This window comes from Homo sapiens, chromosome 16 (assembly GCF_000001405.40).
Source record: "Homo sapiens chromosome 16, GRCh38.p14 Primary Assembly".
Lineage (NCBI taxonomy): Eukaryota > Metazoa > Chordata > Mammalia > Primates > Hominidae > Homo > Homo sapiens.
Genome location: NC_000016.10, coordinates 61,022,328 through 61,046,880, shown reverse-complemented (window position 1 = coordinate 61,046,880; position 24,553 = coordinate 61,022,328). Strand labels below are relative to the sequence as shown.

The 24,553-nt window shown below is 36.1% G+C and overlaps 1 annotated feature.

Moving 5' to 3' along the window:
* Nucleotides 21,160–23,267: an enhancer, noted in NCBI's record as "VISTA enhancer hs1383". NCBI's record gives its function as "enhancer in: forebrain[11/11]" and the evidence as "EXISTENCE:transgenic organism evidence [ECO:0001131][PMID:17130149]".

Genomic DNA, 24,553 nt, shown 5'->3' with positions numbered 1-24,553 from the left:
ACATATGCAAATTAATAAATGTGATTAATTACATAAACATAACTAAAGGAAAAAAACCCACATGATTATCTCAATAGATGCAAAAATGGCTTCCTGTAAAATCAATACTCCTTCATGTTAAAAACTCCAATAGGTGGAGGTTGCAGAGAGCCGAGATCACACCATTGCACTCCACCTTGGGCGACAGAACAAGACTCTCTCAAAAACAAAAAATAGCTCCCAATAAAATGGTATTGAATTAAAATACTTCAAAATAATTTTCCGGTTTCTGCAAGTCCTTCTCTGAATATTAACAAAGATAAATATCTTTTAAATTTTGATATGGCATAAAAAAGAGTGTACAACCTATTGGGAGAGGAAGTGACAGTGGTTCTGAATTTGAGGGATGAAGAAGTTTGAACTGGACCTGAACAAACCCTCTTAGTGTCACTGGACCCTGGGGAGCAAATTCTGCTTTGTAACTTACATAATTGAACTCAGACGTTTGTTGAAAGCCAGAATGTGAGAGATGAATTTAAAAATGAGAGTATGTGATTTCTTTCATAGAAAGTCAGAGCAAATTGGTCAAAGCTGCAGGCCAGCAAAGAAACATGATCAAAATGGATCGGATTATCTTAAATCATAGAATCCCAGGAAACATTAGGGAAAGGGCAGTGTTCCTGGAATTAATAGAAAATACCTGAGGTGCAGCATATGTAATCTGTCAATTATTTTTAAAGTGGTTTGAGGAAAGATCACGTGATAATAGTTGCTATCATTAGCTTCAGAGGCTACACGTTTTCAAATGACTCTTAATTTGTTCCAAATATTTCTAGAACTTCTCTCTGAGATGGTTTTCATTACTTTTTACTTCAAATTTGTAGGTCCCAGCTCGATCATTCATCAGTTCTACAGACACATCACAGCATGGATAGTCTTTGTTTCCAAAAGTCATGTCTTCCTCAGGGAACTAAAACTGTTTCTCCCAAAACACTCAAAGTAGTATACTGCTGTCTCTAGAGTTGGCCTACATTTTGTCCTTTACACATAAAGCAATAGATGTTAAAATACAATCTAGCATAGAAAATAAAAGTTATCTTTTATTAATCAGAATAAAATTTTCAAATATTGGATGTTTAAAAATAAGCCTCTTGAAAATAGGGATGAATAATACAATTTGAATGTGTATTATGTGTCACTCACACACTGTGCCACAACATTCACATAGATCATCATTTTTTCTTCTTAATTTTCCTATCCTTATCTAGCAAAATTATGTTATTTCACATAACATAATTACCTCCAGGTTAAATAGGTAAAACAAGTTAAATAAAGTCACATAACAATGGGTAACACATGATTAAGTCCTTCTGTTCTGCTGTAAATACTATTTTCCCTTCAATGTAGTACTTTGCCCTACAGACAATTATCATGTATATCTGATGAATATTTAATATTTGTTCAGGACTTCATTTTTCCTTAACACTATGGTAATAGTATGAGACAGAGATGTTAAAATCTCTACATTTAGTCTTAACTTTATTGAAATAGCCTTTTAGTCTATAGCTATGTTAAATTTATTTCAAAAACTACCAAAAAGAAAGATGTATAAGTTCTTAAAAAGAATATTGTGCCTGCTAGTTCTCTCATGATATTTCAAAATATGAAAAATCTAGTGTAGAAGATAAATAGCAACCTAGAAAATATCTCTTAATTCCAAACATTAAAAATATTCGAATTAGTATTTATCCAGTAGAAGCTATTTTTCTGGAACTATTTCATGGTTTATCAGTAAGGAGGCAAACCATGTGTGAATTTCACAGTATATATGAATCCCCTGAGATTGATCCCTATGCTTTGTGCATGTGTGCACATGTGCACTCATGCATTTGTGCACCTGCATTCATGCACCTGAAATGAAATGAGACAAATGCTAAAGAAAGCTGTCTTTCATCTTCACAAAATGCCCAAGAGATAGAATTTTAAATTTATCTGACAGTTTTCAGACCTTAGTTGTGCTGAGGTATACAGAGAATGGCAAAATTTGCGAACCAAATTTCTCTTTTTGAGCATAGAATGAGAAAGAATGAAGAGAATACTAAGAAAATAAATGAAGGGAGGTCAGAGAGAGAGAGAGAGAGAGAGAGAGAGATTAGAACCTGGAGGATTATGGTATTCTTTCGGTGTTCAGTGCATTTTAATATGCTATCATTTCAAGAGAATTTACCACACATATCTACATTGACCTTCAAATGTAGTCAAATTCACATTTTGTTGTTGTTGTTACCATGAGCTATTAGATTTCAGCAACTGGTAAAAGATGCATTATAATTCAGATTATAGGTTATCTCTGGGGACGTTCTCATAAGAGCCTGTGGAACACCTCATAGAAGGTACAATTAATTTAGTCCATCCTTCATATTTATCAAACAAGTATGCTGAAAGCCAGTGATTTGTCTATGGGCACATAATGTTTGCATGTTCTGTGACCCAGATTCACATTTGGCACTAACTCCTGGTTCAGTTCCGCTAATATCACAGTTCCTTTTCAATGCTCCATTGCAGATAATCAATATAAAAGCCTTGCTTTGCCAATGACACAGATGTAATTCAGTAGAGTCATAAAAGCATAATAGAGTGTTTTAGTCAGATTGGTGATGAGGCTTTTTCTTAAATTGAGGCTAGTCAATTGTCGCTCTTACACTGATTAAACTAGTCCTTTATTCTAATCATGCCCAGGATGAACCAAACAAGATTACCCTCTATATAAATGTATCAATGCTCTGTATTAACGTATCCTTGAGATGTCAAAAAGTAAATAGATAGATATATATAAAAAGTATTCAAATATGAATGTCAGATCTATGAATTGTAAGTCAGTCTCTGTTTCTATGTTTGGTCTTTATCCTTGTTCATATTCAGAGAAAGACTTACAGAGACCAGAAAATTTCAAAGATGTGGAACAATGCTTATGGAGCATTCTTAAAACTCAACACAACTCTTTGAAGAAAAATATTATATAAAAGCAATCTGCAGAAGTGTGTGTTATCAGGTCAAACTTATAGGAATGACTCTGCATTCTTATTGATATGCTTAAGTTTCATTAAATATGTTAAATAAATTTTGAAGAATTCAAACTGGAGTGAAAAACACATCTGTCTCATATGTTCTGTAATAAAAAATAAAGCCTGACAGAATACAGGAGAAGTTACATCACCTTAATTGACTGCATTTGTCAAGCATACATTTTGCTTACTATTTACAGGGTATTATAAATACAAGACACTTTTGGAGTCCCTAGAATTTCAAGAGACCAGCAGATTAATAAATATTGCAATAACTTGCAACTGCTGCAAAGGCATGTGTGCCTGTTACCATATACTTTTGTCAATCTGTGGTAGGGGGTCGTGTACAGGGGAAATGCACTCACTTTGGGTGGGTCACAGGAGGCTTAATGTTACCTCTATTAATCTAAGTCTTCAAACATATGTAATATTATTCCATTAGACACTTCAAGAAAGGTCCCTCTGGTAAAAGAGAACAACCTTTGCAAATATGTTCAGGGTTTACATGTTCAGGGAATTGTTAATAGTTTGATATTCCTAGAGGAGGATAAATGTCTATGAGAAGGCAAAAGAGATTAAACCGTTAAAGTAGACAAGTTGGAGGCAGTTGACAACCTATTATGCTATTTTGGGAGCTTTGCTATTTTTCTGCTGTAGAGTTTTAAGTTGAGGAATTCAGGCTCAGATTGTCTTGCATACATTCCTAGGAACTTTCACCATATCCCAGCTGCATCTAATCTCTTCATCTTATATTTTTAAAGTCACTCTATGAGCAAATAAGTTGGGCACAAATTGTGCTCATTTGTCTTGAAAGAGCATGTAACATTCATGCCAAAAGCCATGTAGCATCCCCTTCTCTGCCCACTTCAGCACTCTTACAGTGGACAGCTCTATACTCTCAGCCCAGGTTCCCGCTTGATAGAGGCTTTTCTGCTTTTGTTTTCTCAGAAGCTGTGAAAGCCAGCTGCTGGAGGTAGTTCGCACATAATGGGAATAGGAGCCCAAGGATATGTACTGTCATCTTCCTATCCCTTGGAAGGATTTCAACATGCATTCTATACACCTACTTTGGAAAGACTCTGATTGGATTGAGATCCGAAAGACTAGTGTAGTAACCAACAGTAATCAGTTCAATAACTCACTCTTTATTAAGTTTCTTTCTGACCCTGTCTCACTATCCCATTTCCCTTACCTGGCATTCTCAGAATTATCTCAAAATAAACTATCTACATTCCAAGTACGTGTCTCAGGTTCTGCTTTCAGGGAAACCAAAACAGAGAAAAACAGAAGCCCTCTGAGGATAGGAGCCATATTTCATGGCCAAGTATGATGAGTAATAGCTTTGTAGTGAAATACAGCAGGGATTAAATGCATGTTTGCTTATTAAGTAGGCTGCAGGGTCAGAATTAGGAACAAATAATATTATTTTCAAATCATAAAGAAAATGTTTTTACACCCCAAAAGGTATTTGTACATAAGTTAACAGTCTCTTCCTGCTATTGAGGAGTTAGTTTGTACTTCTGCCTTTAATTTAACATGCTAGGCACAGAAAATTATTAGGTATCTAAAGCATGTTCAAATCCAAATCCTTCGCTGGGTAAAATATTGTTTTTGTTTTAAAATGTTTTTTGAAGGTACTAATGATGAGGCCTCTATTAGTGATGAAATTATCCTATTTCAATTGGCTAAACAAGTAGATATTCTCCAAATTTGATTAAGCTTTTTTTTTTCAAAAATGAAGAGCCTAAGACGTGGTAGACTGGTAGGCGTTGTGAATGACACTATAGACGAAAATATACCTTATAATAGTATCAAAATTCAATGTAATCTTTATAGATTTTGAATTCATTGAGAAATCTATTAGGCTTCTCTAGAGGGACAGAGTGAATGAAATATATATACATATATTCTGAAAAAGATGTGTTTTTATAAGTATATATATAGAGGGGAGTTTATTAAGTATTAACGTGCATGATCACAAGGTCCCACAATAGTCCCTCAGCAGGCTGAGGAGCAAGGAGAGCCAGTCTGAGTTCCAAAACTGAAGAACTTGGAGTCTGATGTTCAAGGGCAGGAAGCATCCGGTGGGGAGAAAGATGTAGGCTGGGAGGCTAGACCAATCTCTCTTTTCACATTTTTCTGCCTGCTTATATTCTAGCTACGAGGGCAGCTGACTAGATTGTACCCACCCAGATTAAGGGTGGGTCTGACTTTCCCAGCCCACTGACTCAAATGTTAATCTCTTTCGGCAACACCACCACAGATACACCCAGGATCAATACTTTGTATCCTTCAATCCAATCAAGTTGACACTCAGCATTAACAATCACAAGAATAATGACAGCAATATTGACATTGGAAACATTGTTTTTCTGACAAGAAATCTTTCATCTCTATCTTCAGTCAAAACTAACATGATAATAGCTACAAAAAAGAAAAAATAAGTTTTTCTATTTCCTTCTAATGATACAGTAATAACGATGGGATTTGCATTAACAAATAAGGAATAAAGCACCATTATTTCCTTTCACCTAATTAATAGGGTATTTTGTTAGTTTATTTTGAAAAAAAATAATATGCAAGTGGATTATTTATATTTACATACTGAGAAGGAAGTTGAAACTAAGAAAAAAGAGTTTCTTAAAATCAAAGTATATCTTAGTTGGAAATGCAGATAAAGCGGGCTGTACAAATAGTTCAGCACATGATAGGAATATATATATATATATATATATGTATATATATATATATATATAGAGAGAGAGAGAGAGAGACAGACAGACAGAGAGAGAGACAGAGACAGAGACAGAGAGAGACAGAGTCTTGCTCTGTCGCCCAGGCTGGAGTGCAGTGGCATGATTTGGCTCACTGCAAACTCCATCTCCCAGGTTCAAGAGATTCTCCTCCCTCAGTCTCCCGAATAGCTGGGATTACAAACATGCACCACTATGCCTAGCTAATTTTGTATTTTTAGTAGAGATGGGTTTTGGCCATGTTGGTGAGGCTGGTCTTGAACTCCTGACCTCAGGTGATCCACCTGCCTCGGCCTCCCAAAGTGCTGGGATTACAGGCGTGAGCCACTGCGCCTGGCCAGGATTATATTTTTCAAGATAAAATGTACATGTATAAGACTGCTGAAACCTTCAAGTTCTGAAAAGTTAAGATTTGTAATAGAAAGGCCTGTAATTAATCTCTGTTGTCATAGCAACCCATTGTGCAACCATAGGTAGTGAAAATAAATGTAGCATTTGCATGTATTCCTAATGGCATGTGATAATTCTAAATATTCACATACATATATGCATGTAAATATACATATGCATTTGTATATATCCATATAAGTGTACTTATGCAAATACTTAATACCTCTCTGTGTGTATAAGTGTAATGTTTATTTTCTCTGAAAATTTTCCCGACCTCCAGGTAGACCTGATCAGGATTGCTCTGCTGCTTCCAATCATCCTTTGTTTTCAGCAGTAGAACACCAGGCATCATATTGTGTTAAGGTAGGTTGTTTACATATTTGTCTTTCATTTCTATATCATAAGCTCTTTAAGAACAGACACTGTGCCTTAATATTTTGGTGCAGTGACAAAATTTAATTAGGCTATACAATTGGAAAAAACACAGATATTGCATGATACTGAAAGCTTAGAACCATTTTTCATTAGTCCAAATCATCTGTTTTTCTTGCAGCACTGGATTATTATTATTATTTTGATTGTTATTCTTATTATTAACACCATAATATTTCAACTAGTACTATTGCTATTGCTGCTGCCACCAAGACCTACTACTAGATTTGGGGCTGGATTATAAAATGTATATATTTTGAAACAATTTAGTATTTTTAAAATTTTGATTTGAACATATAACAGGAACTCTTAACAATGTTGTACAGCAGATCTCTCAAACCTAATCATCTTGTGTAAAGGAAATTTTATACCCATTAAACAACAACTCCCTGTTAGATTCTCATAAGCAAAGTGAGGGGCTCATACTGTGAGAGGCACTTGGGGATTAGATCTGACTACAGAAACTATGGATTGAAATATTTCGTTCATTCCTTACTCTAGGATCCATGTTCTCTGAAAGCAAACAATAAGTTATACTGCATTATTAACTTTATTTTGTTGTCTTTATATACAGGGAGGTTTAATGTTGTTGTTTTAACACATGTACTATATATATATATATACACACACACACACATACATATATATTACAAATAGAAAATTCTATCAAATTCTATCATGTTACTAATAACAAAATTAATAAACATGATCAATGTAGCATGTGAAGATGTGAAGCTTGGTTACTTATTAACATTTGTTCTGATGTAAGATGGTCTGATTTTAAATTTTATGATACGTTGTTTATTGATAAAGAACCAGAGTGATGTCAACAATTTGTGTTCTTAATTCCAAGAAACAGTTATAGGATTATATTTTACTCATCCATTCCAATAGTTATTGAGGACCTTCTATGTCCATTCTAGGAGCAAAATAGTGAATAAAATAAGGCTGAGTGCCAGCTTTTGGAAACTATGGTCTGGTGGGTGAGAATGACAACCATAAATGTATGATTATATACTGAGATAAGTTTTATGAAGGAAAAAGAAACAGTGCTATATTACTTTATTTTTATAAATTTCAGCAGTAGCAAACAGATCCCAGGGAGTGGACAGGTAATTTAAAAGAGTGAAAGAGCCAGAAAGAATGTTCAGAGATACAATGGGGAAAGTAGGATGACAAATAGTCACTGAGCTATAGCCTCAGTGTCAAGAGGACAATGGTAGAACTTTGGCAAATAGAAGGTGAAAGCCATTCCTCTCAGCTCCAGTCTACTTTCACCTTACAAGAATACCAGCCTAGTGATGCTGAATCTCATGATTTCTTGAGAAGAAATTGAAAATTGTGACATTTTCTGCCTTTTAATGAATGAGAATCCTTTATTATTTTTAATCACAGTGTGACCTGAATTTTGTGACCCTAAGAACGAAAGTCTTCGCTGGCCTGCAGATCTTTCACTCTGTGGCCTCAACAATAGATCCAAGGAAATATTAAAGTAGAGCAGGGAGAAAGTGGAGTGGCTGTGACTTTTACACATTGAAGAGCTCTTTTCTCTAAGAATTACATCTTACATCTCCATAGTTGTAGAAGCATGGACTTGAGATGGGTGTGGAAGAGCACTGGTACTGCCTAAGTGCCTGAGCAGGTTGGACACTGGACACAATGACTTTAGAGAGCTTTGGTCCTTATGACCAGCCTGGCATAGAAGGATTAGAGTCAACAAGAAGTCTACACATCTTATAGCAGAGAACTTGGGAAAGGATCAAGTGTGGTGACTGACTGGGTTTCCTGATACCATATAAGGTAGGTAGAAAAAGACACAAAGTTGCTACTATTATGTTTCTTGTCAATTTTGGCAAATGGGCACTTATAGTTAAATTTCAATTTATTCCAATGAATAAGGAGATGTTGCATCAAAGGTCCTGAAACAATTACTGCCAATAACACAAATTTGAGATTATTGATACTCACAAAAAGCATATCATAGGGGTCATATATAGTCCCAATTTTATAGATGTGTAAAATTAGCTTAGAGGGTTTAATTACTGTCCAGTGTCACAAGGTCAATAAGTATCAGTTAGACTTAAATTTGAGTCCTAGATCTTATAATAATCAAGGTAGCTGCATAGCTTTGGTCTGAAATACGGGTGTTAGACTGCATAGATAGTTGATCAACATTTACTTTGGATTGAGTAATTGTTAAGACCCATATCCACCATGTAGTAGCTTGTTCATCCTTGGGTAATGCAGTCTATGGTCTCTAGATCTCAATATTGTCAAGTCTAAAACTGGTATAATATCAAAGTTCTTTGAAGAACATTTAAAAACATATTTTATTCTGCAAAGCATTAGAGAAATATTAGCTATTTTTATCATTAGTGATGCTAACAACAGTTACAAAATATAAAGGTTTTAAATGAAAACAGTACATTTGTTGGCAATGAATAAAGTATCAGAAGGCTATTTATATTGTAGATACCTTTCAGTGGCCCTGTTATGGCTAGTAGGGTGCACTCACAACAGTTCAGGAAGCTAAGTACTATTACTATTAGTATTGTATGTGTGAGGAAAAGAAAAGCCTCAGATAGTTTAGTTTCCTACACTGGCTCCATAATGATTTGCATCTAGTGAGTGTATAACCAGAAATTTAAACAGGAGTCTAATTTATTGCAAAGCTCACACTTCCATCCTATGCTAGTGGCCTCTTTTCCTTAACTTTTCCCATGATGGTAGCTCTAAATATATCCTTAGACCCCTGAGCTCTGGTGCAGTGTTTTTATAGTGTAGGGGAAAGCAGTAAATATAACTAAAGGCTCCTAGGTTCCTTTTACACTAACTTCACTCTACACTTCAAGGTGCTAGTTCTACAGCTGCCCTCTATAACAGGTTAAATCCAATACATATAAAGAAGAGTGTAGCCTAAACATTAACAAAACTGAGTATCTTGGAAATGAAATAAAAACTTCCTCTGTTAATTTTCATCCTATGTTCAGCAATGTCAGCATGCTTTATAACACAAATGTTCTCAGAATCAGCATTTTTACTGTAGTCAATATTTGAGACAGTGACATTAATTATTTCAATATCTTTACAATAGAGCAATGATGATAATTATCTAATATCATGGTTTTAAGATATCATTTATATTTTGTTATATTTATTGGAAACAATGGGTATACTTTGATGACAAGAGGGAAAAACTTTTATCTCTACCCTAAACAGGGTGAGGGAGATATATACAAAGTATTTCCTAACCTGGAACAAACTATGTGATTAAACATGAGGTCATACCTATGTAAAGGCAGTTTTTTGTTGCTGTTTTAGTTTAGTTTTGTTTTTGCTAAATTTCTCATCCCACTGTAGCATCTAGGCCTTCATTCCTTGATTTGCATTTGTATGATCGAGATTAAATTCAGCAGATGGTTTTGCTAATACTAAAGCAAAACAAAAAGTCACTTATTTTTTTTGCTCCCAACTTATTTTTCATTTGACTGGAATAATATTATATGACAGAATTTTACATTGTGGCAAACAGGTCATCTTGGGGTGAATCTTTGCTTTGATAGTTAGTACTTCCTTTCAATTTGATCCCATTCACAATTCTCTTTCAGCCACTTTTATCTGCTTTACCAACCTGATGTTATTCGTCTATTCACTGTAACTGAGAATTGCAAGAATATCTTACTAGGAAATTGTCACCCATGCCTTGGTTCATCACATCAGAATAAGCTGATAAATGAACTATCTTGTCTACATAACATATATGCATGCAAATTAGAAAGAAATACTAACAGCATAAAGATTGTCTCAAAAACCTCCCATTTATATGGTGATGATGAGTTATTAAGTTCTTATTGATTAAGGAAACTTCAAAAATATCTTTTCCATATTTATTCATTCATTTGTTCCTTAAACATTATTGAGTGCCTTCTATTTAATATTCTCCCACATGCTGCCAAAAATTGTGTGGTCTGAATTTCTTTAACTGTCCAATAGAGAAAAGCATTAAAAGGATACTTTGAACCTCTATATAGGCACATGTACTGATAATGGAACAAAGAATCTTCAAATTCACCGTTGAGCTAAACATGAAAACCAAATATTTAATTTCCAACCTCCCATTTAAGTGTCCTAAAAAATACATACTGTATTTAATATCATTTTAGCAGCAAAATATGAAATAAAAGACATATTTTATTTATATAATGACCCTCTCCAAATAGCTTCTTCTAAAAATTCACACATTTTCAAGACTTCCTGTCATAGATACATTTTCCAGATAAAAACCTTATTTTTATATCTCATACCTAAAAGTTATAGTACTATAAGTAACTTGGAAGACTTTTGAATATTAAAATTAATAGCATAATGAATGCTAACATGAAATAGTTACAATTCTGAAAGCCTAAAGAAGAAAATGCCTTCAAGAATTATTTTTTCTTACATATGATGCAGTGAAAAGTACTTAAGATTTAGGGCCAGAAAAAGCTAAAAAGTAATCCTGTCCTTGTTCCTGCTACTTAGGAGTGGTACAACTTTGGACAGGTTCCTTAATTTCTCTCAGCTTTGGTTCCCTCATTTCTTTTGTATTTTTCCTTACTTTATCAAGTCTATAATAAATTACCCCCATTTAAAGTGCACTCATTTGATGTAATCCGACAGTTCTACATGGCAATAAGACCTCCACTAAAATCATGCAGAGCATTTTCATCACTAACAAAGGTTACTCATGCCCCCTGGTAATCTATGCCTTTTTATTTCTCTGTAACAGCCATTCATCTACACTTTGTCATCATAGATTGGTTCACATTTCCTATGAATGAGATCTGTTGTGCCTGAGTTCTTTCACTCATATTGAGTGTGTGACAGTAGTTCTGATTTTCTATTTTTTCCTTGTAATGGCTGAGTAGTATTCCATTGTATGGATATACTTTATTTTGTTTATCCATTTACCTGTTGATGGATGATTTTGTTCTCCCCACTCACCCCAGGTTCTGGCTATGATGAATAAAGTTGCCATAGAAATAAATACACATACAAGTTTTCGTTTGAATGTGTTTTTCTTTCACTTGGGTAAATAACTGAGATGGGAAGATCTGGTGGCCTATACTTAATATTTTCAATTATCTTTCAGAGTTTTAAGCATTACTATAAATAATGAATGGAAATGATCTCATATGGTGCCTGACATTCTTTAGAATCTGGTCATATCAGAGGTGTAATTCTCGTAATGAGTGTTCTTTAAAAAAATTCTCAAAAATTTCAGACCAAATATGCTGTCATAGAGCAAGTCACCATATTGAATAGCTTTCAGCAATGAATCAGTTTTTTCCTTCAAAACTTTATGATCTGGGTGACATGTGCTTCGAAGTCTGTGTCTTCTACATTTTCTGGGTAAATGCCTTTATTTTAATTCTGGTTCAAAAGACTTCCTCGTGAATAATCGTGTTCGGATTCTTCTGTAACATTATGTCACTCCCATTATGAGTTAAAATGACTCTCTGGCTGGAGCAGCTGTGATCAGTTCTGGATTATCTATGCTGAACTCGTCTGTTGCTCTTCAAAAATTAGAATTCAGGCTAGTACAATATAGTGTTATTCATACCTATCCAAAAAGGTATTTTATTAGGTAAAGGTGTTGCCTTGCTCCCACAGGCAGTAATGCCAACCTCTGATTTTCTTTTGTAAGAGGATCAGGATAAAATTAATCAGTTTTGTTAAAATCAAAAGAGAAAAAAATCACTTACCTTTCTCTGTTATCTTTGTTCATTTTATTCAAAGAGAATAAAAATGATAATCAGGGAGGATTGCCTATCAAGACAATTGTGACCACCTCTCAGATACACTTTTAGTTTAATGGTTGGTGTCAGCTTTTAATTTTTCTAAGGCAAATAAAGATATTAATACCTTTTATTTCAGCCATACGTGGTCACTTTTAGCTCATAGTTAGTACCAATATATCTAAAGCTGTATTTATTCCCCTATCAATCGTAGGTTTTAGAATCTGATATGTGGCAAAATGGGAGATGGGGCATCCATGTGGGTGAAGATGGAATTATTGCTACCGAGTACCTATCAATTAAATTCAATCTGGGCCGGGTGCAGTGGCTCACACTTGTAATCCTAGCACTTTGGGAGGCTAAGGCGGGTGGATCACCTGAAGTCAGGGGTTTGAGATCAGCCTAGCCAACATGTCAAAACCCTGTCTATACTAAAAATACAAAAATTAGCTGGGCATGGTGGTGCATGCCTGTAGTCCCAGCTACTCGGGAGGCTGAGACAGGAGAATCGCTTGAACCCAGGAGGTGGAGGTTGCAGTGAGCCAAGATTGCACCACTGCACACTCCAGCCTGGGTGACAGAGTGAGACCCTGTCTCAAAAAAAAAAAAAGGAAAAAGAAAAGAAATTCAACCTGATTAGTTGGCACACAGTTTCTAGTAAACAAAAATGTCTAAGTTCACACCCAGAATCCTCGCCATCTACAGCATTCTTAGAGCCAAGCGTCTCCTACATTCTGACGTCCTTTCAAAAGTCACCACCTCCCCACTGAACTCTTCCTTCTCCATTCTAAATTAGCCCTATCACCAGCTGCTCTCACAACACTGTTTTATTTTTTTCAGAGACTTTATAACCTTCTAACATTATTTGTTCATTCATTTAGTGTCTCTATCCTCTAAGAGAACACAGGCCTTGTTTGTAGCTGTTGTTTTAAAATGCATCCAGGATTTCATTTTTATTCAGTATGGTAAGACCAACAGATCAGGAGAGAATAGCCACTGAAAACACAGTTCGTTAGTCAGCGTTCCCAAGAGAAGAAGACCTGCCAAGCTGCACAGGGCTACACAAGGAAGCACCAGGGTCGGGTCAGAAGGTAGAAGGAGCAAGAAGTGTGGGAAAAAGGTTTTACTGTGGTTTTCTTAGGAAGAAATGGGCCAAGCGGGGTAAGCTGCTGAGCAGATTCAGGGTTAGACAGTTTGAATAATTTAGGCAGGCTCTATGCTGTAAGGGTGCTCTCTACCTGTCTATTGTCTAATGCTGGGGTAATCCAGGGCAGGAGGATAGTGTTCTAGACTGCAGGAGCCTGAATAAAGGAAGCAGGCTGGGCTAAGGTCTCAGAATTTTCTGGTTTGCATATCAAAGATGAGTTTACAGGTAAGTTGTTTGTTATCTCTAGAAATTAGCTAATCCCGAAGGGCACCGTCCATTTGTTTCATGAGACCTCTGGATGTCAAAGAATTATAAAATATAGAAAATAAAAATCATGATTAATACAGGCATATTCTTACTGCTTAGAATAGTCCCTGGAAAATATCAATAAATATTTGTTGAATGAATTAATTCACAATATTGTCAAAATCCATATATTTAATATAATCATTTATATTATTTTAGCAATTTATTTTAAATTTCACCAAAAGGGCACCATAAATCTCCATTTTTTTGAAAGATTCCTAAGAAAGGGAAGGTAAGGATTAGTGCCTTTTATAGCTATTTGGGTCTTGTCTAATATACCATTATCTTTTTAACTTTTATTTTAAGTTCAGGGGTACAGGTGCAGGTTTGTTATATAGGTAAGCTTGTGTCATGGGAATTTGTTGTACAGATTATTTCATTATCCAGGTATTAAGCTTAGTACCCATTAGTTATTTCTCCCGATCCTCTTTCTTCTCCCACCCTCCACCCTCCAGTAGGCCCCAGTGTGTGTTGTCCCCTCCATGTGTCCATGTGTTCTCATCATTTAGCTCCCACTTATAAGTGAGTATACCATGTTTTTAAAAAGGCTGCTTTCTCTGCATTGCTTTAGAAACACAAAACAAAATATATTTCTCTACATATGTTAATTTCTAATCATATGGAATAAATTGAAGTCATATGTGGATTCTAGGTAATTGATAAAAGAGGTTCTGTGGGTTTCCCACTTCCTTAGACCTCTCCCAGGCCTCCAAAATGTGTCCCTTTTACAGAAACATATTAAGAGTTCCCTTGGACAATAGTAGACTAGTATATTTCAGACCAATCTTTCCACTGTGAAAGTCTAGACAAAATATATCTTTAATTAACTTGAAGATATAAGAGAACTACCAAGGCAACGAGAATTTGTAGGGAAAATTTGTAGGGAATTTTCTTCCAGAAAAAGAGCAGAACAAGAAAGGTTAAACTGATGTATATCACCACACTTCCTCTCCAGGCAATTGCTAATTGTAAAGGTGGCAGGTAAGAAGCTTTAAGGTTAAGCAAAACTTTTGCTAGACTCAATACAGCCATGGAACAATGATAAGAGATTAGAGACCAAAAATAAGAAAAAGTTTTTACATTTTTTGTTGCCCATAGAAGCTTTATATATTAACTATGATCTTAATCACTAAAACTATGATTTAATCAAGGTTCTAGAATAACTTGTGTCCTGAAGCCTAGATACGTGCCAGAAGAAAAATGAAAACATATTGGAAGAAAATAGTATACAGAGATTCAACTTATCTCTACATTTTAAATAAACAGTCTCAATTCCTCAAACAAGAATAACCAGCCAGGGAGGGGCCAAGATGGTGGACTAGAAACAGTTGCGGTCAGAGGCCCTCACCAAGGACACAAACAGCGAGTGAATCCTGCTGGTGAATCCAGCGAGTGAATCCCACCTGGTAGCCACAAGGGGAATGGGGATCTCCTACCCCAAGCCAAGGGAGGCGGTGAGCGATTGTGCTACCCCTACCTGGAAAGTCACGCTTTATCCACAGATCTGTGCAACCTGTGGATAAGGAGATTCCCTCAGGAGCCCACGCCACCAGGGCGTTGAGTCCCAAGCACAGTGCTGTGCAGAATCTCAGTGGACACTCAGCTGGAGACTGCCTAAGACTACCAAATTCCTGAGGAGAGGGGCAGCTGCCATCCCTTTGGCTACCTACTGCCTCAGACAACTGAACTTTCGGAGGAAGGGGTGGCCACCATCACTGGCTGCCATCACTGCAGTTCCAGTCTGCTGTTTTCCTCTTCTGGTGCCGGAGAAAACTGGGTGGTTTGGACCCAGGAGGAATTCCTCACAGTGCAGCACAGAGACTGTGGCAGATAGTGGCCAGACTCCCTCTTTAGGCTGGACCTGGCCCCATCCCTCCTCACTGGGTGGGGCTTCCCTGCAGGAATTTCACCAACTCCAGCCAGGGGTTTATGGACAGAACTCTGTTCTCCCTGGGATGAAACCCCTGGGGGAAGGGATGGCCACGATCTCTGTGGGTCAGTGGACTTAGTCTTTTCCCCTGCTGGCTCTGAGGAATCCCAGCAGTCCAGGTGAATGTGATTCCCCTCAGCGCAATGCACCCCCTCCACCAAGAGGCAGCCAGAGTGCTTCATTAAGCTGGTCCCTGATCCCGTGCTTCCTGACTGGATAAAACCCCCAAACGCGGGTCACCAGCCACATTATACAGGAGCGTTCCCACTGGCATCAGGTCAGTGCTCCTCTGGGATGGAGCTCCCAGAGGAAGGAGCAGGCAGCCATCTTTGCTGTTTTGCAGCGTCCAGTAGTGATGCCTCCAGGGGTGGGAGGGACTCAGGAAAACAGGGTCTGGAGTGGACGCGCAACAAACTGCAGCAGCCCTAAGGAAGAGGAGCCTGACTGTTAAAAGAAAAAACAAACAAAAATAAAGCAACAACAGCATCAAAAAAAGTTCCCACAAAAAACCCATCCAAAGGTCAGTAGCCTCAAAGATTGAAGGTAGATAAACTCTTCATTCAGAAATTGTGGTACATATACACCATGGAATACTATGCAGCCATAAAAAAGAATGAGATCATGTCCTTTGCAGGGACATGGGTGGAGATGGAAGCCATTATCCTCAGCAAACTAATGCAGGAATAGGAAACCAAACACCCCATGTTTTCACTTAGAAGTGAGAGCTGAACAATGAGAATACATGGAGGGGAACACAGGGAGGGGAACAACATACACTGGGGCCTACAGGTGGGATGGGGAAAGGGAGAATATCAGGAAAAATGGCTAATGCATGCTGAATTTAATACCTAGGTGATGAGTTGATAGGCATAGCAAACCACCATGGCACATGATTACCTATGTAACAAACCTGCACATCCTGCACATGTAACTTGGAACTTTAAATTAAATTAAAATGATCACCTGACATATTCAAATATATTACCACATTCTGGAGAAAAAATAGGCAATAAGAATGAAATCACAGTTGATCAAGATAATAAAATTAAAATACTTTTAATGAATATATTCAAAAATTTTTAAACAGTGAAAAATCCTAAAAATTTAAAAATCCAAAATAAATGTCCATGAAACAAAAATTAAGATGACTTAAATAAATAATTTGAAAACACATAAGTAATCCTGCAGAAAAAATTAGTCATATTTAAAAATGCCAGAACAAGACCAAACTCAATCATAAAATGAGAATGAATAGTGGAAAATTTGGGAAAGGGCATAAGAGATAGTAGTTAATAGTTTTCCAAACCTGATAAAAGATATTCACATTTATATTCAAGTACTGTTACTAATTCTAAGTCATCTGAATGCACTCCAATATTATAGCATCTTTAGGAAAATAAAAGACAACGGGAAAATCATAAGGGTAACCTTCAAAGAACAACAGTAAAATGGATTTTTTCTTCTCATCCAAGATAAAGGGAATTAGACAGCAATGTAGTTAATATCTTCAAATGTCTAACAAACTGATATTGATTTATAAAACAAAAAATATAGGTAGTTGTGTACATATATGTGCACATGATGTTTGTATATATAAAGTATATAAGTATACATGTACTTCTCTGTATAAAGTACCTCTCTGTGTAAAGTAATATTGTATTGTATATAAAATACATAATATGGTACTTTAAACAACACTGTTAAAGAGAAGAGGAAATAATGAAGAAGGCCATAAGAAGGACTTTAGTGATGCTAATATTTTGTATTTTTTGCCTAAATGGCTATGTCAGATTTGTGATAATCCTCTAACATCTACACTTCTCACTTTTACAATTTTCTACAGATATATTTAAATAAAAGTGTTATTTTAAAAATAGTGCATCAAGGCTGGATGTGGTGGCTCATGCCTGTAATCCCAGCACTTTGGGAAGCCGAAGAGGGCAGATGGCTTGAGCTCAGCAGTTCAAGAACAGCCTGAGCAACATGATGAAACCCCATCTCTACAAAAACAAACAACAAACAAAATCTATATCTATACATAGAGATACAAATTGATAGAGATAGATAGATATAGATATAGATATAATTAAACAGGCATGGTGGCATGCACCTGTAGTCCCAACTACACAGGAGGTTGAGGTGGGAGGATTGCTTGAGCCCAGGAGGTTGAAGTTGCAGTGAGCCAAGGTCATGCCACTGCACTCCAGCCTGGGCAACACAGTGAGACCCCACCTCAAAAAAACAAGTATATTACAACTGTCATCTTCTTTTTCCAATCTTTGTGTTCCTCCCTTCCCACAAGGCTAGATTTGATATGACTTTTACTCATTTATATCAATCTTATGCATGCCAAACTTTTTATTAGTAAAATATAACATTTTAATACATATAAATGTAAATGCATGTACCATATTGTATAAAAATGTGTCACAGAGAATTTGGAGGCTCTAGGAAGACTCAGAGGAAAAAAGCCAAGGCAAGCTTCAAGATAAATTTTAGGATTAAAAAGGGGAGCTACAAGAAGTAGCGGATGGAGATGGCAGTAGAAAGATGACAAGAAAAAATGGAAACCCAGTAATATTTATGTGTGTGTGTGTGTGTGTGTGTGTGTGTGTGTGTGTGTGTGTATTTCTTAATGGAGAAGGTTTTGCATTTAATCTTTGAAACTTAAACAGCCTTCACTGGGCTTTTAACTTGAAGCCACATGAAGAGACATCTATAGTAATGTTCTGAAGGTGGGAATTAGAATTGTCCCACCATTCTCCCAGGGAACTCACACAACCTGAGCTCAGTAAAGAAATCAAGGGTATGGCTGAAGCTTTCAAAACATCTTTATTTGAGATATCCTTCATCAGCAATTTATCTGAAAGGTTGACTCATTTCATGTATCCAAAAGCTTTGTGCCCTGAATAAAGCAAGAAAGAGGAGTTGCGAGGCCTTCTGACATTGCACACCAAGTTAGCGTCTTCAGAATTTGTTTAAAGTTTTTCATATATATATATATATATATATATATATATATATATATATATATATATATATATTCAAACAAATATTGAAGAAATAATTACCACTTGTAGTTTTAAAATAAATATCACCAGTTAACAGAAAAACTAAATTAAAGAGATTTTTTCACAAAAGTATTAAGGGCATGGAATTTGTACACAGGCAGAATTTTTTCCCTGCATCTCTATTGGTAAATACCTGACACTGACTGTCCTGATCCTGTCAGTATTCTGCCTAGCTGTGTTCAGATCTCTTCACTGGTTTTGTGGTCCTCTCCTCTAGCTTATAGGTGCTTTTGCTTCTGACGGCTGTGTCTGGCTATTCAGAGGGTTTCCTTGGAATGACTGGAGGCAATTTGTCATCCTCATCCACAAAGGTAGATGTGTCTGAAACTTTGCATATCACAAAGCATCCCAGTGAGGGGTTGCTCTTAGCCAATGACTGGTTGACACAAAAGTGTTATTGACACCCAGCTCCCTTTCTTCCAGTTGGGATAATTCTGAGATGCAATTTATCCTTCAGAGCTTCCCTGAAGGATCTGGCTGCGACTGGGATTGCCTGAATTGAATCTCTTCTTGACTTTATTCCTTTCCCTGTCCTGTTTTACCTATTTACTTACTGGTTTTTCTAGGGAGCAATTTTTTTTTTTTTTTGAGTCAGAGTTTTGCTCTTGTTTTCAGGCTGGAGTGCAATGGCGTGATCTCAGCTCACTGCAACCTCTGCCTCCCGGATTCAAGCTATTCTCCTGCCTCAGCCTCCCGAGTAGCTAGGATTACAGGCATGTGCCACCACACCCAGCAAATTTTTGTATTTTTAGTAGAGACGGGGCTTCTCCATGTTGGTCAGGCTGGTCTCGAACTCCCGACCTCAGGCGATCCGCCAGTCTCAGGCTCCCAGAGTGTTGGGATTACAGTCGTAAGCCACTGCACCCAGCCAGGGGCATTTTCTTAACACGTCCTTTGAACACTAATTCTCATCTCAGTGTCTTCTTCTAGGAAACCCTACCTAAGACCTATTGAAAGGGTATTCAGTAAAAAGAAAAATGCAATTTTTTCCAAGTAGCAATTTTGATGTAAGAAATAAAGTGTTGTTTTTTTTAAGTCTTTTCCCTTTTCCTTCACTATCTCCATTTTTAGGGTTTGAGTTTGGGATATTACTGTCAAATGAGTCAGAAGAGAGCATAATATGAGTTTATTGGGGCAGATATCATTTCAAAAAGAAAAAATATATAAGAGTAAACCATATAAGTCTATGTAATAAAAACTGAATATATATATATATAATAAAATGTTATATAAAATACTTGTAAAAATAAAATTAGGGGTAGCTGCAGGATGCACATTGAGCAGCAAAAGTAAATTGCAAAACAAAGGCTAACCACAACACTGGTTTTCTATATGAATAAAAACAAATAAATTACATCTCTGAACCTAAGTACCCTATTGGCATGTATCTCCTTTTCAGCCCCACATCAAAGAAGCTTCTAGATTTCTGATGATAAAAACCTGATTCAAATCAACTCAAAGAAAATCGTATTCATTGACACATAAACAATTTTAAACATAGTTGAATCCAGGGTCACCTGTTGCAAAATCCAGCATCTCTTTCTACGTACTTCTTTTTTGAATTGGTTTCTGACATGGACTTAAGTTATTTCTGTCAGGACACTACCCCTTTTCCCTTTATCTGGAAAGGGCACCATTTTTAGAATCAGGAAATTACCACCATCCATGTGGTTTGAGTGAGGTTGAACTCAAACTCCAGAATCAAGAGTGGACACCTAATCTGAATATGGTGAATCTATATGTTATTTCAAGCCTTCACCCACAGTGATTGGTTCTGGAATAAAAATGTTTTCTAAGGCAGAGCTATGAGATTCAATTTTGAGGCCCAACTTGAAAATGCTAGGAAGATATATGTTCTTTCTTTGAGGGATGCTGAGAAAATGGGATAAAAAGTGTAAAACTGATGACAGTGATTTTGCCACCAAGGAGAAAGGGAGAGTTGCTTGACAATAGATCCAGCACAAAGAAAAGCAGAGTTAAGAGATGAACAGTACAAAATTGTGTTCCTATATCATGTTCTGATCCACTTGCAAGCATTATCTCTATATGTTTGAAATAGTACCAGTTGTATCACTTGCAACTGGTATAAATTCATTCTGCAGATATTGTGTTCTGCTGGCAGGTTTTGACTTATCTAGTTCTTGGAGTTTGAAATTCCTGAAATAAAGACCTCTTTCACAGTATCTCTGTAATAAATGTGATGGAACACCATGAGTGGTCCATTATATGCCTATCTCTGACACAATCATTGTTGACAGGGCATAAAATATTCTAATTCATCAATAAGTAAATGACAAAAATTGAAACAAGGCAATGAAACAAGGACCATTTGGACAGAGATAATATATGAGTGAAAGAACGTTGGAAAGGAATGAGGTAGGGGTGATATCCCAAAGAAAAAATGATGATTTTTGTACCAGCCCAAAGAGGCAAGAATGCTTGTTAGAAATAATGATAAACGTCTTATCATTCTGAACTCAAAATTTATGTAAAATATTGATAAGAATGCTTACTCTTCCTAACCCCTATACTATTTTGAGAGTAAAATGAAAGTAAAATTTAGTAGACAATTGCAGTTGGCAAAAATTTTTAATGGGATTAATAATTGAGGGCTTAGTTGTAGGTTAATTCTCTATATTTACTTTCATAGTCATGGCATTTTTTTCTATATACCTCTCACAATTACTAAATAGGTTATTAAGTCATAGTACAAAACAACATCTGTTCTGGGATGTTGGCAAAAGAACACATGATTTTCTTTACATACCCTTCTATAAGCAATTTGTGTCATTATTTTCTACTGGAAATTATTGCTTATAAAGTCATATGGCCAGTCTTTTATCTGAGATATATAACATATAAATACATAACACATAATAGGTAAATATATATACACACATATATGCAAATATACATTTAAAATCAGTATTAGCATTTTTGTCTATAGTTGTTGAGGGTTATTTATTAACATATACAATTTGGGGGCATTAATTACACAGAGATCCCTTTGAAATATTATGCTTTGTTTTCCTTGCCCCTAGCACACTGTAGACATTCCATAAATATTTGTGGAATGTCAAATGAATGAAACCTGGAATTCCTATGACCATAGCTTTCAGTAAAAGATATGGTCAATTTGCATAGGCCATTTTTTCCAGAAAGTTAGGTGACGGTCTCAACTGAACTCTTTATTTCTAAGTGCAAAATATCTCTAAAGGAGATTCAGTACCCATTTAGAAATGCATAACCACCTCTTTTGAACTCTGTCACTTGAAATTGCTTCACTCTTCTCAACACTTACAGTCCTTCTCCAATCTCATTTTAAATTCAGTGACAGAGAAATAAAATAGGGTTTAACATTCTTGCAGAGCTAAGCTTTTGTGTCCACTGTAAGGCTCTGATTTCTTTTTTCCTTTCTTCCTTCTTTTCTTTCTTATTTTATTTTATTTGGTTTGGTTTTTTTTCTTCATTTTGTTTTGTTTTCAGCAACACTAGGCTTTTATCCATTGCATGCATGCACAAGCTTTTGCTGCCTTTCAATCAAGCATATTAATTAGCCATGAGCCTTTGGATGAGGATACAAGGAAACAATGGCACTGCACTGTAATCTCAGCACAAAAGATGCAGAAGCTGATTGTGCTGTCATGGGTCTAATCCCCGTCTTCCCCACAAGTGCTTAAGTGGTATTAAGGAAAGAACTGTGACTACCATTTTCTCGACTTCCAGTGTGACCTATTCATTTCCTCTGTCATGGCATTTACTGTGGTTAATATGATTGGCATAGTTACATGTCTGTTTCTCCACTATCCTATGAGGTCCTCCAGAAATGTTAGTCACCACATTATCCAGCAAACCATAGGAACTTAATAAGTGGTGTTTCAAGCCACACAATATTATGTATAATAAAAATCTTAGACAAAGCATGTGCATGCCACACAAAACTGCTGAAAACTGTGAAAAGAGTTAATTTGAAACAGCTTCCAAGATTTGACTCTGATTAAGAGTGTCACCCATCTATGAGAATTTGTTCCCCCTCAGTATCTCTAATTTTTAAGAGCTAGCAGAGGAAAAAAATGCAATTCAGTATTGGGGGTTAAGACAGTTTCTTTGTTGTTTAATATTTTTTTTTGTCAACAGAGTGTTGTAATAAGAAAACTATTTTATTAATTTTTGTCCAATGTAATACCAGAGTGGTAGTTTAGATAATGGCCAAGTTATATCAGCAGACATAAATATTCTGCCCAAAAAGAAATAATTCCTCTCTTTCTTCTCAGGTTATGTGACTCCCTCAGTTCTGACTAGGATAATGTATGTTTTTTAAACCTCTTTTCCATGCCTTTATTGGAGCGCACCTCAACTCCATGCTCAGGTTGATATAGCCTGAGGTCATACTTGTGATTTTAACAGCTGTACCTCCTACTTCTAAATTTTTGAGTCTTACAATTAAAGAGATCAGTAAGCATTTAAAAATGATTATCATTTATTTACTTTCTTAAACTGAGGAGCGTTTTTGTAAATGCATTACATAATTTATACATGTCCATTAAAGAAAAAAACTAAAAAAAAATTTGATAAGAAAAGCCACCAACAAAAGAAACACTATTAACATTTTGGTATAAATATTTCTATGAATTTTCTTCTGTATGAAGACATCAATAGGAAATACTCTCGTTTACTCAATAGATGGAGCAAATAGAGAAATTAGAGGATAGAATTTTGTATTTAGGGGAATGTAAGCAGGAAAGAAGAACATTTGAGAGCCAGGTTTGGAAAAATGATTTAGGAAAAAAAATGTGCATATCTGTGCAATAGCTAGCCTAGAACAGCAACTGAAGACATTTCATCTATGAGCGTGACTTTTCCGAAAGGAACAATTAACATTGTACAGCAAGGGGAATATAGATAAGATCAGCAACTAGTAAGGTTGTCATATACATGTTTAGATGGTTCATTATCCAAGGACCCTGGGAAATGGGTCAAACAGGGTTTACAGCAGGGCTAGGTTCACCTCGAGAAAGGGGTGTCTGTTATCTAATTTGCACTAAGCATGTACTCATTGTGCTGTTTCCAGGTGGAGTAAGGAAGGGCAACTGTCACTAATTCTGGTGAGCCAATTGTGGTCCTGGGTACTGGGAAATGCCAGTTATGTGTCAAAGAGGTTAACTGCAGACTGGGGAAAACAAAATGGCAAACTTTGGCAATGGGAGGGCTGAAGAGCAAAGAATGTAAACAGAGCAAGAGTGGTTTGGATAGAAGCCAGCAATACTTGCTATCTTCCTCTTAAGAAAAGTTTTGCCTATCACGCCAGCCCAAGGCATAGGCCAAAACGAAGGTTCAGTGCTGGTTATCCGCTCCCATTGCCACTTGCTCTTTGTTTACATGTTTTAAAAAGCTAGTTACTGTTTTGAAAATGCATGCTGTATTTTTTTGACGTATGCTTTAAATTTTAAACATTGCATTATTCGAATTTTATTTTTCTGTCAGTTTATATTTTATATAATGATTACTTGATAGACTAAGAGCAATATAGGTGCTGTTATTTAAATATTATATTTTGTAACTTCTGTGACAAGAGAACAAAATTAGACAATTACCTTTTTAAATGACTTTTTTTCTACCACAGCCTTAGTTAATGAAATGCTTGATGTGAATTGGGCTGTTAGGGTATGGAAAGCCAATAAAGTATTTTTAATACCATTTTCT